We start from the raw sequence: 15979 nt of genomic DNA on the forward strand, positions 1-15979 counted from the left end.
GGAGCCCTGGGTCTGGCAGTGGGCTCCTCTGGCAGAGCCCACGTGCCTTCTCTTGGAGGGAGAGCAAACTGAGCCTTTCTGACCCCTGGGGCTGTTGGCATTTCTGTAGTGAAGTTTGGATTGCCAGGCCAATCAGTGCCCACTCCCTTAAATCTGCCCCCAGCATCCGAGGAGCTGCTCTGGGAATTCTGTTCCATGTCCCCAGTTTCCCCCACCCCCAGAGGCCAGCAGCCCTTTTGTTGGTTTGGCTCTCAGCTTAGATCATTGAAGCGATTTCAGCTCCAACTGGGCAACACTCAGCATTTCATTTATGTCTTGGCAAGGTTACCATGTTATTACTTAACTGTGCCGCTGCTACTCAATAAGTGGGAACTGATTGAAATAACCACAGGAGTTACTGGATTCCCCTAATTTTAGCACAGAGTTAAAGCTTACTCCCACAGTTGGAAGTTAAAATAGGCTGCCAGCCCACAGAAATGCCCACCCACCACACCTAATTGTCACCCCACAGATGCCTGTCATGGAAGGAAACATGGAAGGCTGGAGAGAAGTTCTTAGAAGCAAGTTCTTCTCCTCAGTGGATGCCTGAGGTCATTTTGGCCAGGCCCAATTTCTTTGAGACTGTAAGCCTGGGGAAATTTGCATGACTGCTTTAGAGACTCCTGCTTTCTTCCCTGATTTGTCTGACAGGCAGTCGAAGTACAGAGTGCACATTAGAACAACTGTAGAGAACAGAAACTCCTGTCCGGGGGTGCCTCCTTAAATGATTCATTCCTGGAGTCCAGATGTGGGGAAGGCAAAGACCCTGAGAAATCTATGTAATTTGGAAAGCAGAAAAGAGACTTAATCCAAGTTAACTTGCTTTCTCTTGGTGTCATAGCCACCAACCACAACCCAATGACACCACTTGAAGAAAAATTTGAAGTAAATGGCATCTTGTGAAACTTCCCCCATCCCAGAACACTCGAATTGTTTTTTTGTTTCTTGCTATTGAAAACTAGATGTTACTAGATATGTTCTGAAGGCTTCTATGAAAAGTTATTTCTCATAGTGAGCCTGCTTCTTAATATTTCTCCTCCCTGTGCAATTTTGTGTTCTCTTGTACCTACTTTAAGTTATAATCTGCTCTTAACATCTTAGTACAGCATAGTCGACCAGACTGTCAAGGGCAAAGTAGGGGATTAGAATTTGGAGATTTTTAGAGAAAGGGAAAGGCTTTCTCTGCAAGGTGTTTCCCAAGGGGACCCTGGGCAGCCTCCAGAATTCTTGGCAGTGGGCAGATCCCAGTCTCTCAGGCTTCATGGCCTCACAGCTGGACTGTGTGGGAGCCTCCTGACACTGGTTTTGGTGATTAGCATCAGATTAGTCATCTTTAGAGCTCTCTTCCTCCATGCCTGTCTCCTGCCCAAAAATGTCCGTGACTTTCTATTGCCTATAGGATGAAATCCAAATCCCCTAGGCTTTCTTTTTTCTCTCTCTCTCTCTTTCTTTCTCTCTCTCTCTTTCTTTCTTTCCTTCCTTCTTTCTTTCTGTTTTTCATTTTGTCACCCAAGCTGGAGTGCAGTGGCACAATCATGGCTCACTGCAACTTCAACCTCCTGGGTGCAAACGATCCTCCTGCCTCAACCCCCTAAGTAACTACAGGTGCATGTCACTACGTGTGGCTAATTTTTGTACTTTTTGTAGAGATGAGGTTTTGCTGTGTTGCCCAGGCTGGTCTCAAACTCTTGAGCTCAAGTGATTTGCCCACCTTGGCCTCCCAAATTGCTGGGATTACAGGTGGGAGCCACTGCACTTGGAGGCTTTCTTTCAATAAACTGGTTCCTAACAATATGCTGCCCTTAGGCGCCATTTCCACTCCTTGAAAACTCCTTTCTGACCAGACTCACTGTCTCCTTAACACACCTGACCAAACCTACCTCCTTGCCTCTGTCAACTTGTACTCCACAAATGCCATGGCTTCTCCCGTCTACCCTGCTGAGTCTCATCCAACCTTCCTACCTACTTAAGGCTCAGCTCACCTTGCTGTTCTATGTGTAACTTTTCCTAATCTTTCCCAATATATAGCGTTTTTTCCACTTTTGAATTTCTACAAGTACTTTTTGTACAATTATCATGCTGGTCCTTTGTTTTCAACTAGACTCCTTGAGTGTCCTACTCCTTGTAACTATTTGCTAATTGATTATTCTTTCAGAATCAGTATTTCAAGCATCCAAAATGTGTAGGAGAATATGGACCCAAGAACGGAGCAGAGAGACAAATAGAGGAACGGAAAGTTTTGCCTACAACCATGATGTTCTCAATGTTAGCTGACTGTGTTCTAAAATCCACTCCAATTCCCATTTTGGGAGTTGCTATGTGATGAAGGTCTGCCCCTGTGGTGTTGGGACAACTTGCTCATGGAGTTGCAGTTCTTGCCTAACAGGAACCCACCATGGTAAGAAAAAGACTCAAGCTGGTTTATTTGTTTTTAAGGTTGCAAGGTAATCAAGTCCATAACCACACTTGCTCTCACATTTACCAAAATAGGCCAATCTCAGAACTAAATGATAAAAATGAAAATTAATCAGGGACTCCCATGGGCCTCACATATATGGCAGTTTTGAATCTGTTCTTTTTTTCACTATCATAATTGTTTTTTTAAACTCATTTTCTCTGCTTGAATACACAACTGTAAAAAAAAGTGGGGGTAGTGGTGGTGATAGAAATGAATAAACCCATGGAAACAGTGAGACATCTACAGAGACAAAATTAGGAAGGAAGGAAACAAAAGCAATTTCAGTATCTCTGTGCAAGGCCTGCATACCTTTCCTTGCCAATACCCGTGGATTGGGCTTGTCTCAGGAGGTAGCAGGTGTTTCCTTGACTCACACAGAAAACAAGCCCTTGGGCTTCTTGTGCTGTTAGGGCAAGTTACGTTCAGCACATGAACACTGGACCCTGCTTTGCCTGTCCGTCCTTCCCAGAAGAGACACAGATCACAGATGATCAAGTAGTTGAGAAAACAGTTCAAGAGGAGGCTTTGTATCTTTTCTTTCTTTTCTTTCCTTTTTTTTTTTTTTTTGAAACGGAGTCTCGCTCTGTTGCCCAGGCTGGAGTGCAGTGGCATTATCTCGGCTCACTGCAGCCTTTGCCTCCCGGGTTCAAGTGATTCTCCTGCCTCAGCCTCCTGAGTAGCTGGGTTTACAGGTGCCTGCCAGCACGCCCAGCTAATTTTTGTATTTTTAGTAGAGACGGGGTTTCACTGTGTTAGCCAGGATGGTCTCGATCTCCTGACCTCATGATCCACCCGCTTCAGCCTCCCAAAGTGCTGGGATTACAGGCATAAGCCACAGCACCCGGCCCTGTGTCTTTTCTTAATTTGAGCGAACTTAAAGTAAAAACGCTTCTTAACATTATAAAGTAGGACTATGTCCCCTCCATTGAATTTTTGTAAAAAAGTCGAATAGGGATAGAAAGCAAGCAACCAGATAGAATATCATGCCCCAGAACATCATTTACCTTGGTAGAACATTACCACTTTAACACATAGAAACCTTTTCACACTAGTTAACAAATAGCATTAAGCATGATTCAAGTCAAGATTTTAAAAACTTGGCTGATGCCTCTCATTAAGAGTTGAAAACTATATAAGACTCTTGCTCCAGGAAACTGTGTTCTGACATTTTAATAGTATTGCGTTAGCAAGAGCAGAAAATCCATGAACTTAGATTCACAGAAAGTAAATCAAGAATCCATCCAAAATGGAGTGCCTCTTGCTGAGTGATGGGATGGTTTTCATGTGAGATGTCAGTGCAGCTTCTATACTTGACATAAAAGTTCCCATTAAAAAAAACGGAACTGCTGCTCAATTTTTTTTTCATCAAGCAGAGTTACCTAAAGTGCTTTTTAGAAGAGACTATTAGGAAAGGAATGGAAAGTAGTCATTATGACTAATCTGCTTTAGGAGTTGGGGTAACCAGTATTACAGGAGGGACTTTCAGAGCCATGGGGACCTTTTAGGCAACTCAAATTCCTTCAATTGTTTGCAGTGGTCCTCTCGAGGGGATGTAATGAGTTGACATGCACCAGAACAGATAGAATGCACTGCCAGCTGGTAGTTTACTCTTGTACAGGAAGGCTGCTTTTCTAACACACAACTCTTTGTTGTGTTAAAGAGAAATAAATATATAAAAGCCTAAAAGTAAGCTTTCAATTCTTTATGTCTGGCAAAATTGTCAGTACAATGTGCCTTGAGGATATATCCATGGTGCTGTCTTACAAGGTTATTACGAAAGAATAAGCTCATACTATAATAACCACCCCATACACTTTACAGTTTATGAAGAACTTACATATACATTTTCTCAGTTGAACCTCACAACATCAGTGGGAGGCAGGGGAGGCAGATATTATTATCTCTTGAGAGGGAGTGACCCTGCTGCTGCTGCTGTATATGTGTGGCTTTTGGTTTAGGAAGACTAAGTTGATTGTGTTGTATTTTCAAGTATTTTATATCGTACAAGGATGTTTATTGCAGCACTGTTTATAACAAGGAAAAATTGGAACCTACTCGAATGCTTGCTAATAGGGGACTCATTAAACTATGGTACAAGCTTAGATATGACTCTGTAGTCATTAAGAATTTTGATGAGGTATTAGAAAGAAATGTATTGATGTTGAAGTATATTTATTGATGAAGGAAATTGTTCACAATATTTCAGCCAATAAACAATAGTATATGCATTTTTTTGTAATAGGAAAAAATGCACACAGTAAAATAGTGGTTATCTTTGTGTGCGGTGAATATGTATGATACTTGTTTTCTTTTTCATGCTCACCTATCAATTCTAATCTTAGTGTCAATAAATATTAAAAATGTACTATCTGACATTTTCAGCGAGATTAACTTTTACAATGAAAGTTAATGGAAAATATATGGCTCCACCTCTGGGCCTCACGGGTAGAGTGATCTTGGGCATGTAGATGTGTCAGCCATGGTCGTGGCAAGGCCCTGAGTTCAACTAGATGGCACAAATTGAGTGTGGATCAGGTGTGTCTTACAGTGCTGTGCAAAGGGATAAGGAGCAAACAAGGGTGACAAGGCACCAGACACCAGCAACACTGGGAAGCCACGATCACTCCTAGGGCCAAAAGGACAAAAGGAGGAAATAGAGTTACCAAGTTACCAGAGCCCTGGGGACAGGAGTTGTGAATGAACTCCCCTCATTCCATGGGAGCTACAACAGCAAAGCATCACAGGCTTTGTTAGACACCAGTGAAGACAGGAAGAAGTGCCCTGACCTCTTTCCTCCTGTATTTCCTGCTGGTGCCTTCTGCTGACCAAGCCCTATGGGAAGCCAGCTGGCAGGAGATTCCTAGAGTCAGCCTCCTGGTGCATAGCAAGGGGCAAAGCAGGGCAAAAAATGCGTCTGGCCATTGGGGCTGTGCAGCAAACACAGTGAGCAGAACACAGGTCAGTCCCTGAGAGAAAAGGGTGTTTCTTAGGAAGCTGAAACAGAAAGGAAGAGCCTGTTGGGGCAGGATGGCCTGAGTAATTTGATTTTTTTGCCTGTGCTCAGAGCTTCAAACGTGTGGGAATGGGATCACAGATCACCGAATGCAAACTGAGAACAAAATTTCTTTATGAAATTTTATGCAGAGATAAAATTGTGTACCTTTGGACCCCAATAATATCATCCTTGCTGCTTGAAGAGAAGAGGGGACTGCCAGGGAAAAGAAGACCAAAGTCATCTCAGATGTACCTCACTGCTTCCTGCTGTCCCATCTTTATTCCTATGCTCTCTCTCACTTCAGTGTCTTTGTCACCAGCCCCACATGATAGCTTAACAAGAGGTAGCATGCATCTGGTGAACACTTGCTTAAAGCAAGCAGTGGGGGAGGCACTGTTTGTGGTAGGCACTCAACATGATTAACTCATTTATTTCTCACAACAACCCTATGAAAAAAGTGACATTGTTCCCCAGTCTACTGAGCAGCTAAGAACATTGATAATGGAGCCAGGCTGCTTAGATTTGAATGCTGCCTCTGCCATTTCCCAGCTCTGTGACTCAGTTTTCTCATCTGTAAATGGGGATAATAATAGTGTCTACCTACTGGGATGGTTGTGAGGATTAATTGGAGAAATATGAGTAAAGTGTTCTGAACTGGGCTTCACATAGCAAGCCTAAGTCTCCAGTTCCCACATAAGGAAACTGAGGCATAGAGATGTTAAGGTACTTGCCTCAAATCATAGGGTTGATAAACAGCAGACCTGGACTCTGACCAGGAAGTGGGGTTCCTTCCTTCATGTGGGCTCTGAACCACTATCCAGTATTGCATAAAAGGGCCTTTCCCATTCCCTCCCTGCTACTTTGAGCAGAGAGAATGGGATCACCCTCACTAACTGCCTAAATGAGTCTCTCACATTTTGGAACACGCTCCCCACTGCCCAGATGAAGATCTGCAGAAATCTCATCAATGCTTCAAACCGTATTCCTCCAGGGTCACTTCCCACTCGCTCCAGGCAGAAGGAAGAGTGCAGATCCCCAGCAATGGTCAGCAGCAGATGGGGGCAGGGGTGTAGTGGCTTTTTTGTCTCATCTTCCTTGGGATCAGACAAAACGGAGGCTGGAATTGTGAGGTTTTCAAGGCCCAGGTCAGCAGGTGGGTCTTCAGTTTCCAAAATATACACCATGGAGAGTCATGACTAAAGCACACTCCAGCTCAGCTATCTGCTCTGGGCCAAAATAGGGGATGGGGCAGCCTCCTTCCTTGCATGGAGAATGCCAAGCACATCACCATCATCAGTTAATCCCCTAACCTATGTAGGGTCAGGAGCAGTCACCTGGGTAAAATAATGAGGAAAAACCAACATGAAACATCAAGGTAACTGACAGAACTCAGATGGGAATTGAAGAATTCTTTAAGCCTGGGCCACAGCATGATCTCTCGTGTTCTTTATTTCATTTCTTGAAAACTAGCTTACCTGTATTTCTTTCTTGCCTTCCTCTTAGCCAGGGGCTTTATAACAAGATTTTTTGTCAGTCTCATCTTTCATTTCAGAGTGAAATATGATCAATTACCAATGACAACAGAACACACTGAAAGCTGTGTCACCAGTGAGTCAAAAGTCCTCAATGTAATGTCCATGACTTGTTGAAAACACAACAATCAAGTGGCCATTCAACAAATCTCTTTTCCTTCCACTCTTCTTCTTTCTTTTTTTCTGGCCTCGTATTCAGTGTACATTGAAATAATATGAATGCAACAAGATGTCCTCAATTTCACAGGTGCCTAGTGACCAAAGTCAAAAGAGATTGCCTAGTGTTCATAGAAAACAGAAACTCTTCCAAAAACATCATGCACCAGTGAAAAGTATATAAGTTTGCAAAATGTTGGTTGGTGCTTCATTTTCTCATTTTACTCATCTTCATAAAGTTGCTTTTAGGAAAGGAATCATTTAGTCAATTATAATAGTTCTTCACTGAAACTGAGCTGGGTCACACATACTGCTGAGTGGTGCCCTGGCTGGAGCCTGGCATCTGGCCTGGTGAGAGTAGGAGGCAATACAGAAGAGGCTCTGTAGACAGTTTCCTTATCTGTCAAATGAAAGGGATAGGCTAGCCTTAAATAATATGTAAGGTTTCTTTCAACCAAAAAAACATATGGTTTTCTCCCTAGCTCTGGACCTGAGCTATGTTCTGAGTTTTTAATTAATTCAGAAAATGCTCTTAGCTTTGAACCGAGTGTAGGGGCATCAAGATGTGAGTAGCAGAGATAGGAGAGTAGGTGGATGCTGGGCCTTTGCTGCCCATAGTAGGATTTTCTGGTGATTAGAAAATGTGCCCTCAATCAGGCAAGAGAAAGAAATAAAGGGTATTCGAATAGGAAGAGAGAAAGTCAAATTGTCTCTGTTTGCAAATGACATGATTCTATATCTAGAAAAACCTATTGTCTCAGCCCAAAAGCTTCTTAAGCTGATAAGCAACTCCGGCAAAGTCTCAGGATACAAAATCAATGCACAAAAATCACAAGCATTCCTATACACCAACAACAGACAAGCAGTGAGCCAAATCATGAGTGAACTCCCATTCACAATTGCTACAAAGAGAATAAAATACCTAGGAATAGAGCTAACAAGGGAAGTGAAGGACCTCTTCAAGGAGGACTACAAGGAATAGAGCTAACAAGGGAAGTGAAGGACCTCTTCAAGGAGGACTACAAACCACTGCTCAAGGAAATCAGGGAGGAAACAAACAAATGGAAAAACATTCCATGCTCATGGATAGGAAGAATCAATATTGTGAAAATGGCCATACTGTCCAAAGTATTTTACAGATTCAATGCTATTCCCATTAAACTACCATTGACATTCTTCACAGAATCAGAAAAAAACTGTTTTAAAATTCATATGGAACAACAAAAAAAAAGCCTGAATAGCAAAGACAATCCTAATCAAAAAGCACAAAGTTGGAGGCATCATGCTACCCAACTTCAAACTATACTACAAGGCTACAGTAACTAAAACAGCATGGTACTGGTACAAAAGCAGACACATAAACCAATGGAACAGAATAGAGAACTCAGAAATAAGACTACACATCTACAGCCATCTGATCTTTGACAAACCTGACAAAAACAACCAATGGGGAAAGGATTCCCTATTTAATAAATGGTGCTGGGAGAAATGGCTAGCCATATGCAGAAAATTGAAACTGCACCCCTTCCTTACATCTTATTCAAAAATTAACTCAAGGTGAATTATAACTTAAATGTAAAACCCAAAACTGTAAGAACCCTAGAAGAAAATCTAGGCAACACCATTCAGGATATAGGCATGAGCAAAGGTTTCATGAAAAAAACACCAAAAACAATTGCAACAAAAGCAAAAATTGACAAATGGGATCTAATTAAACTAAAGAGCTTCTGTACAGCAAAAGAGACTATCATGAGAGTGAACAGACAACTTGCAGAATGGGTGAAAATTTTTGCAGTCTACCCACTTGACAAAGTTCTAATATTCAGAATCTACAAGGAACTTAAGCAAATTTACAAAAAAAAACAACAAACAGCCCCATTAAAAAGTGAGCAAAGGACACGAACAGACACTTCTCAAAGGAAGACATTATGTGGCCAACAAACATATGAAAAAAAGCTCAACATCACTAATCATTAGAGAAATGCAAACCAAAACCATAGTGAGATACCATCTCATGCCAGTCAGGATGGAGATTATTAATAAGTCAAGAAACAACAGATGCTGGTGAGGCTGTGGAGAAATAAGAAGACCTTTACATTGTTGGTGGGAATGTAAATTAGTTCAACCATCCTGGAAGACAGTGTGGCGATTTCTCGAAGACCTGGAACTAGAAATACCATCTGACCTAGCAATCCCATTACTGGGTATATACTCAAAGGAATATAAATCATTCTTTTTTAATTATTATTATACTTTAAGTTCTAGGGTACATGTGCACAACGTGCAGGTTTGTTACCTATGTATACATGTGCCATGTTGGTTTGCTGCACCCATTAACTTGTCATTTACATTAGGTATTTCTCCTAATGCTATCCCTCCTCCATCCCCCCACCGCATGACAGGCCCCAGTGTGTGATGTTCCCTGCCCTGTGTCCAAGTGTTCTCATTGTTCAATTCCCACCTATGAGTGAGAACATGCGGTGTTTGGTTTTCTGTCCTTGTGATAGTTTGCTCAGAATGATGGTTTCCAGCTTCAACCATGTCGCTACAAAGGACACGAACTCATCCTCAAAGGAATATAAATCATTCTATTATAAAGATACATGCATGCATATGTTGATTGTGGCACTATTCCCAATAGCAAAGGCATGGAATCAACCCAAATGCCCACCAATGATAGACTGGATAAAGAAAATGTAGTACATATACACCATGGAATACTATGCAGCCATAAAAAGGAATGAGATTATGTCTTCTGCAGGGACATGGATTGAGCTGAAGCCATTATCCTCAGCAAACTAACACAGGAACAGAAAACCAAACTCTGTAGGTTCTCATTTATAAGTGGGAGCTGAACAATGTGAACATATAGACACAGGGAGGGGAACAACACATACTGGAGCCTGTGGGGTGGGGGCAGGGGGAGGGAGACCATCAGGATAAATAGCTAATGCATGCTGGCTTAATACCTAGGTGATGGGTTGATGGGTGTAACAAACCACCATGGCACACTTTTACCTACATAACAATCCTGCATATGCTGTACATGTATCCCAGAACTTAAAATAATTAAAAAAGAAAAGAAAATATGCCCTCCTTGGGCGGAAGTGCCTCTAGGGCACAGGGCTTAGTGAGCTGACAGTTCCTCTTATAAATTAGGAACAGACACCCTTCCTCTGTGTAGATGCAGCTTGTGCCAGAGTGCTCTGCTTGGTGAATGAAGCCCTCACTTACTCTTCAGCCAAGCCCGGTTGGACAGGGCAGCACCTGCGCAACCTACCTGAAGACCAGTGGGATGGGTGCCACAGCCATGAGCAGAATCCTTTCAAAGCCTCCACAGTACCTAGGCTGGAAGGTACTTGTTAACTAAATACACACGCGCGCACACACACACACACACACACACACCCAATGTGAGTAATTTCTTGAACTATAACACACAGACTTCTCACTTTACAGAAAAAGCATGCTTTATGAATAAGCACAAGAGAGATAGTGTCTTAGCCTTAGTTTTCCAGAAAGCAGAGCCTGGTAAAAGTGCATGAATGCAGGTGGTTTGTTTTGGGAAATAGACGCACCAGGAATGGGAGACTGACAGATATCAAAGAGGAGGGAAGGCACTCCATTAAACTGGTCCCTATTGTGGTAAGTGGGCCTCCATCCTGCTTGGCTCTCTTAGAAACTATAGAGATTATATCTTAGGACTGTCCTCCCAAAGGACAGAAGAGAGGAACATTTCCTGGCTTCTGGCATCTATTGGTCAAGGGTTTCCCCTGGAATGCTTACTCCTCAAACATTCTGTGGAAACATGTCGGAATGTAAGTTGTTGGTGGTGCTAGCAGAGGCATTGGGGCAAGGAAGGCAACCCCATGTCCAGATAAGTGTCTATTCTGGAAAGAATGAATCACTGATCCTTCCAGTGTAGAAGGCATCTGATGTAAAAAGCCTATCACCAAGTGACTGGCTGGTCTTCTTCAAGACATGTACAACATGGAGTGTTTCACATCAATCTCTCTGGTGAAAATCACATATTCAGGACAGCAGTTGCTAGACTGGTCTTGGTGAGATGGCACTAATGCCATTGGGGCCATGCAGAGCCTCTGTCCCTGTCCCATGTTCCCTCTGTCATGCAGTGGCTAGGGAGAGAGGCTGGCTGGTATCCTTAGTACATCCTGTCATCTCGTTATTCAGTGCCTCACTTGCAGAGGAGGTTCTCTGGTGGGCCTTGATGTGAGACAGAAATCTACATGCTATGTGTCCAGTGCTATAAGTCCATCTTCTTTGAGGCTTCTGACTCAACCAGCAAGCCATTCGCCACTGCCAGTGGGTCCAGATATAACCTTAACTCAGACCACTTCTCCTGCCCTACAAAGAGAATGAGCAAGTGCATTGTTCTCAGCTCTGCTTACTGGGAGGGGTAACTTTCACTGTCCTCAGGGCCACCCCTCCATAGGACTCTAGCCTGGTGGTAGTCACATTTTTCACTACCACCAGCCTATTAAGGCAGCCCATCTATGAACTAAGTTCAAGTTTTTGTCCTCATTGGTTGGTTATAGGAAATTATAAGACTTTAGGCCGGGCATGGTGGCTCACGCCTGTAATCCCAGCACTTTGGGAGGCTGAGGCGGGCAGATCACCTGAGGTCAGGAGTTTGAGACCAGCCTGGCCAATAAGGCAAAATCTTGTCTCTACTAAAAAAACAAAAATTAGCCGGGCACGGTGGCCCACGCCTGTAATCCCAGCTACTCGTGAGGTTGAGGCACGAGAATCGCTTGAGGTGGAGGTTACAGTGAGCCGAGATCGCACCACTGCAATCCAGCCTGGGTGACGGACAGAGACTTTGTCTAAAAAAAAAAGACTTTAGATGTGAACTGAACAAGAGAGGTAGATAACACAGAAATCTAGGGCAGATGGAATTGACTTACGCCCTCTGGATCTCTTCTGGCCCATTTCATTGTATGATGGATTGCTGCTGTGCCTGCCCGACATTGTGACCAACACTGTGGATCTGAAAATACTCAGCTCAACAGGGGTTGCTCTGGATGCATGGTCACTTGATGTCCCATGTGCAGAAGATTCATCTCTGTCAGAGCTCAGGATGGAGCTAATTTTCAAATGGTATGTACTTTTCTGTTGGAGAAAGAAGGCCTAGTTCCAGAACCACAGGATCTGTGCTGCAACTCTCCTTACTGAACTTGTCAGAGACTCCATACACATAATGTCTTTATTTGCAATAAGTAGCACCATTAAGTCTGCTGGCCATCTAGCATGAGTGTCAGAGCCACTTGTATCACAGCCAGGATCTGCTGCAGATCTTACTCTGACATTCAAAACTGGCAGCCTTGCAAGTTACCCAAAAAATAAGTTAGAGCAATATTCCCAAGAGAAGTATTTGCTATCTCTGACTTCTGAATATTTTTAAGTGGCTTTAAAACACCTCAAAATTATTTGACACTCTTTCTATCAAGAGATGGGGTCTATGTCCTATCCCCTGGAATCTGGCTAGGCTTTTTACTGGTTCAACTAATAGAGTATGGTGAAAGCTACTACACTATATAGTATAGTACTATACTACATAACTTTAGTATACTATAGTATATACTTATGTGTGTGTATATATAAAATATATATGTATATAATATACATACTCACACACACACAATACATATAGTGCAGTACTATACTATATGACTCCTGAGGCTAGATCATAAAAGACCAGGTCACTTCTTTCTTGTTCAGTAGGATCCTTCCTCTTCCAACTACTTGCAAACTGCTGTATTGTGAAGAGTCTAAACCACATGGAGAGGGTATATGTTGGTGTTCCATTCGATGGTCCTCACTGAGCCCAGTCTTCAAGTGACACAGCTTAGGCATTAGAAATGTAAACGAAGATGACTGCAGAAGATTTCAGCCCAGTTTGTGTCACCCCCCAGCCATTTGAGTTTTCCCAACTTAGTTTCTAGCCAGCCTTTCTCAACTAGAGTTTTTTTATCTGAGCTACAGAGGACAGAAAATGGTTTGAATGACTATTTTCTCAGTTCTACCAAGTATGGCACATCACTATATCATTCTGGATACCTAGGAGAGAAATTAGTTCATTTCATATAATTGGATGCTTTAAGGGATTACAGCTGAATTCGATTATGGATGCCGAGTTTAGCAAAGCTGGCAGGAATCTAAAAGTAGAGACAAGACATTCCTGCTGTTCTCTGTCCAGATTCCTGACCCACAGAATCCATGGGTTTAGCCGTATTGTGGCGCTTTACATCAGTAAGTTTTGGGGTGGTTTGTTATGTTGCAATAGAAAGCCAGAATAAGGTACAAGAGCTAACGTCTTGTGCTTTACCTCAAAGACTTTGTGCCAGCATGCCTCAGATTATTGGACTCCTAAAAATGTCACTGATGGGCAGGTTGGGGAATCTTTGTGAGGTTTTATTCTCACCCCCTGACACTCAAGTTGCTACTTCTGTTTAGCAGGTTAAATCTGCATAATGCCATCAAGATAGTGTGCCAGTATAGTCTATATGCCTATGGAATATTAAGACAATTAATATCCCTGCAGACTATTTTGTGACATTGCCCAAGAGGCTTCACATAGCCTTAGGCAAGACTGTCAATGTGTACTGATGTCCTTCTTACTTAGAAGAGACCTGCTTTTGATCCCGTTTATTGATGAGGATTGAAAAGAACATATTCACCAGATCAATGGCAACATACTGAGTGCCAGAGGCTGTGTTGGTCTGTTTAGTAAAGATATCCCATCTGGCTCAGCAGCTGAGATTGGAGCTACCACTTGATTAAGTTTATGGTAGTCCACTGTCATCCACCATGATCTGTCAGTTTATTTTTCCAAGCACCATACAGGTGAATTATATAGAGAGATGCTGGAGAACATCATCCAGCAGAAATGATGATACCAATTCTCTTTGCTGGTGGCACTAATTTTCTTTTGGAATAGTGCTAACTTGGGTACAGTCTCCTGACTGGTGGGGTTGTGCTGGATAGTTTCAGAGACTTCCACTTGTCCCTTCCTACCCTAATGGCTTTTACTCAGTAGGCTAGGGAACCTGTGGGAAGATTCTGCCGCTACTTTGCTTATCCATCCAAATTATTCTCTTGGACAATGGGGAAATAACCACAGGTTGAGTTCATGGGTCCATTTGATCCAATTTGAAGTGTGCTTGTGGCAGCTTTCCTTTTTTTTTTCTAATTCTACAAGTCAAGTACCACTCTAGTTAGCCATTCATCTGTCTCATCAGTGGGAATACCTTGGTCTCTTAGCCACTGCCACAGGTGCCTGACAGCTGAGGCATCTTCCAATCTGATTGTCCATTATAGTAATCATATGTACCTATACTTTGCTACTGTCACTTAAGAATTGCTGCCTGGCCCCTCACATTCCAGAATCCTGTTATCCTGATTGATGCTAAGAAGTCCAGTGTTGTAGCAGCATCTCATACTATCAACCGCAGTTTATGAGAGACAGACACCATTGGCACTTCTCAAAAGAAGCCAGTGCTTTCTCATCAGTGCATTTCTTATTGCTTTAGTCAAAGGAACACCCTCTGGGACTTCCTGGGGAATACAGACAGATGCAGAATTCTCTGATCTCACTAATAAATCCATTTTAACATTTCTATCTCCTTCTGACCCTTCCTTGATACTCCACCAAATTTATTCTAGCAACTCTACCTTATTCACTATTGCCTATTGTGTTCAAGCTTCAAAGAGTCACCCTACCAATGTGTTAGGACTGGATTCAAATGTTTTTGCCAGGATATTAAATTGAGTCATGGAAGAAGACTTGCATATCAATTAATTCTTCCTATCCATCTTTATATTCAGGATTTCCTCGTCCAACTCTCTCAAGATGTATTCCCACTTGTGTTTTCCTGGATTCTGCCAGTGCCTGTTTGCTAGGTCTTGCAAGGCTTTTGGTATAGAAGGAACAGGCATTGTATTTCCTGGATCAGGCTGTGCTGAGACATGACTCCAGCTATTGGTTATGAGAAGAGGGCAAGGTCAGAATTTGAGGACAAGCATTGTCCTGCAAAGCACTTGCTTCAGCTGAGGCCTTTGCTGCATTTCTGCATAAGAGCAGGCTGTTTAGAAACAGGGAGATGATTTTTTCCTTTGAGTCCAGAGTGTTCATAAAGCTGGAGATTTACTATTTGCAGGCTTGTTTACTCAAATATTCTTATTCCAGGTCTCAGGATCCTATTCCTTTCATATTAGGAGTTTTGACTTTGCAAAGAACATCTGTTGAGGCCGTGCATTCCATTGTCTTTGTAATCCTGCATGACTTAACAGTGAATTCTAGTCTTGATTTTCAGCAGAGTCCATCCTGCAACTGCAGAATTTAAGGATATGTTAGGACATTGCCAAGCAGGTTTGATAATCTGGTGGTTAGTTGTCATAAGCCTGTTTGTGACAAATCATATTTTCCAAAGATGAGTGCAACAATATCTTTCATCCCACATGGAACATGTACTTATCTCTCTCCCATTATGAGATAAAATCTTGCTCTTCCACTCCCCTAAATCTGCCGAGCCCTGTGACTGCTTTGATGAAAAGAACAAAGTAGAAATTATATAGTGCCAATTCTGAGTATAGCCACCCTAGTTCTTCTACTTCCTGCCTCTTAGAATGCCTGCTTGGGGGAAACCAGCCACCATGTTCGAAGTGTGACTACCCTGAGCCCTCTATGCTGTGAGAGCCCCAGATGAGTTTGCAGCTGACAGCCAGCATCAGTGCTGGCCATGTGAGTGAGCCATCTTGAACTTCAAGCCCAGAGAAACC

At 42.6% G+C, this 15979-nt stretch overlaps 1 long non-coding RNA gene across 4 annotated transcripts in view; it reads left to right on the forward strand.

The window, feature by feature from the left end:
* Nucleotides 1–15979, forward strand: part of LINC03122 (long intergenic non-protein coding RNA 3122) — a 93238-nt gene that overhangs the window by 63912 nt on the left and 13347 nt on the right. For 2 of the 4 annotated variants that reach the window (NR_161251.1, NR_126523.1), the window contains one exon: nucleotides 2195–4864. The exons of 1 other annotated variant lie outside the window; for it this stretch is intronic. This is a non-coding gene — a long non-coding RNA (long intergenic non-protein coding RNA 3122). Of the gene's footprint in view, nucleotides 1–2194; nucleotides 4865–15979 lie in introns of those variants that run through there. One more of the 4 variants, NR_126524.1, reaches the window with a different exon arrangement.

The sequence above is a fragment of the Homo sapiens genome, chromosome 5, assembly GCF_000001405.40.
Source record: "Homo sapiens chromosome 5, GRCh38.p14 Primary Assembly".
NCBI classification, from domain to species: domain Eukaryota; kingdom Metazoa; phylum Chordata; class Mammalia; order Primates; family Hominidae; genus Homo; species Homo sapiens.